Genomic DNA, 2,766 nt, shown 5'->3' on the forward strand with positions numbered 1-2,766 from the left:
CTCACACCTGTAATCCCAGCACTTTGGGAGGCCAAGGCGGGCGGATCACCTGAGGTCGGGAGTTCGAGACCACTCCGTCTCTACTAAAAATACAAAATTAGCCAGGCATGGTGGTGAATGCTACTCAGGAGGCTGAGGCAGGAGAATTGCTTGATCCCAGGAGGCAGGGGTTGTGGTGAGCCGAGATCGCACCATTGCACTCCAGCCTGGGCAACAGGAGTGAAACTCTGTCTCAAATAAAGAAAAAAGAAAAAAAAAAAAGTAGCAAAGCAGAGAACTGTCCCTCTGCCCCTTTGGGGCATCTCCTTCATTTTGCTTCTCTGCAGTCCTGCCCTGTCTATTCCTCAGTCACTTTGGCAGAACACAGCCACCCCCCTACTTTTGAGCTTGCTAGGGTCAGACCCATGAGAAGAATCATTTCTGAACCTCTGGGAGAGAATCTGATTAGCCAGGTACAGCTTGGGTCAGGTACACCCCCCGACTCCCGCATCAGTTAAGGTAGTTGAGTACAAACATGATTGCTAGGTACTCACCCCTGTGAAAGAGAGAGGAGGGGGGCAAGGGTGGTGGTTAGCTCAGAAGCTGGGCAGATACAACACCAAAGCGCTAGGTGATGAAGCCACCCCGTGCGAAGGAGGGAGAAAAGGACAAGGAGGACAAATGCCTTTCCTCTCCAAACTTCTTTAGCAAAGTCTCCTGATGGACACATTTTGACTGGGAAAACAGAAATGGAGCTGCCACTCTTCGGAATGTTCTTCTGCAGGTTCGGGGGGCATTCTCTTCAGCTTCTGACCCTACAGCACAGGGCCAGGCACAGAGAAAGCGAGCGCGTGTGGATGACCGAGTCCGACTTGACTGCGTGTGCAGCCACACTGGCAGAGTTCTGGGCTCTTCTGCACATCCCTCTCTGTTTGCTCATTGTTTTGTTGTTTTGATTAATCCCCTGGAAAGCAGGGTGTAAACAGACTACCTAGATTCAAGTTCAAAAGCACTATAAAGCTGCCCTTTAAAACATCTTTTAATAAATGGTGGCCTTAGATTTGTTTTGTAGAGATTTTTTGCCCAAGGTTTTCCTAAAAGGAAGCACATTTTTTTGAAACATGGTTCTGTGCAGGGTACAGGGCCACCTCTGGCACCAGAAGTGGGGTTTGGTGGGGACAGGCTGTGCGCTTGTGGCTTGCCATGCCTCAGACTGCCTCTGCAAGGGCCTGAGCTCCAGGAAGGCAGCAATGACAGATGCCACTGCACGTCCATGGAGCTCAGCTCCACCACAGAAGGCAAACCAGAGACACCGCCCTAGAGCTTGTGATCTGGCCAGGAGGAATTATACAATAAATTAATTACAATTCCAATAAGCCATTAAAAAAAAAAAAGCACAGGGCATATGATGACATTTGAAGGGGAACCCGAGCCAGTCTGGGGATCGGGAGCATCTTGTCTGAGAGTGACCTTTGGGTGGAGATCCACAGGAAGGGGACGTTTAAGGCTGGGCTGGGGGAGTGCAGGGGAGAATGTTCAAAGTGGAGGTGACTGGATGGGCAAAGGCTTGAGCAAGGGCAAGCTTGAGGAGTCAAAGAACAAGAGAGGAAACCAGGGTGGGTACAGTACCAAGGGAAGCAAAGCGAGTTGGGCTGGAGTGGGTCAGGGCCAGGCCATGTGGGGCCTCGCAGGCCTCATGAAGGACTATGAGAATGATGTGTTCTTCGTTTTTTTGAGACAGAGTCTCACTCTGTTCCCCAGGCTGGAGTGCAGTGGCGCGATCTCGGCTCACTGCAATCTCCGCCTCCCAGGTTCAAGCAATTCTCTGCCTCAGCCTCCCGAGTAACTGGGATTACAGGTGCCTGCCACCATGCCCGGCTAATTTTTGTATTTTTTTTAAAAAATTTTGTATTTTTAGTAGAGATGGGGTTTCACCATTTTGGCCAGGTTGATCTTGAACTCCTGACCTCGTGATCCACCCACCTCGGCCTCCCAAAGTGCTGGGATTACAGACATGAGTGAGCCACTGTGCCCGGCCAGGACTGTGAGAATATCTTTCCAAGATCCCTCTGACCCAGTGTGAGGATGGTAGGGGTGTGAGAATATAAAGGACAAAAGATGGCCAGGCGCAGTGGCTCATACCTGTAATCTCAGAGCCTTGGGAGGCTGGGGCAGGCAGATCACCTGAGTTCAGGAGTTTGAGCCAGCCTGGCCAACATGGTAAAACTCCCATCTCTACCACAAATACAAAAATTAGCTGGGTGTGGTGGTGCGTGCCTGTAATCCCAACAACTACTTGGGAGGCTGAGGCACGAGAATCGCTTGAACCTGGGAGGGGGAGGTTGTAGGGAGCCGAGATCGTGCCATTGGACTATAGCCTGGGCAACAGAGCAAGACTCCACCTCAAAAAAAAAAAAAAAAAAAAGACTCTTACCCGCTCAGACATCCAGCATAGATTCCCCTTGAGGAGCAAATGTTGAAGACAGGCCTTTTGAGAGTGGAAGAGGCAAGAAATTTCCCTTAGGTCCCACCCCATGCACCTGGAGTGCAGTCACATCTGTGGTGCACATTTGCTCACCTTCTAAGTGACTCACTCACTGTTAAGGGTAGTGATGTCTGAATTGGCAGGCCTGAAGGTTTTTCTTTAGTGTAATCATTGCTCAATTACCTTCACCATCTGTGCTGGAAATGATTGTGATGACTTTGTGTGATGAAACCCAGAGGTGCCCAGTATTCCTGGGTGTCCTTTCCCACCCTTTATTACAGCAGAGGCATCAGAGTTCAAGA

The 2,766-nt window shown here is 50.3% G+C and overlaps 1 non-coding gene across 1 annotated transcript; it reads right to left on the reverse strand.

Moving 5' to 3' along the window:
* Positions 1-1,198: 1,198 nt before the first annotated feature.
* Positions 1,199-1,274, reverse strand: MIR4663 (microRNA 4663). Its single transcript, NR_039808.1, has one exon. It is a non-coding gene; the product is annotated as a microRNA 4663 (primary transcript).
* Positions 1,275-2,766: the final 1,492 nt, after the last annotated feature.

This window comes from Homo sapiens, chromosome 8 (genome assembly GCF_000001405.40).
Source record: "Homo sapiens chromosome 8, GRCh38.p14 Primary Assembly".
NCBI classification, from domain to species: Eukaryota; Metazoa; Chordata; class Mammalia; order Primates; family Hominidae; genus Homo; species Homo sapiens.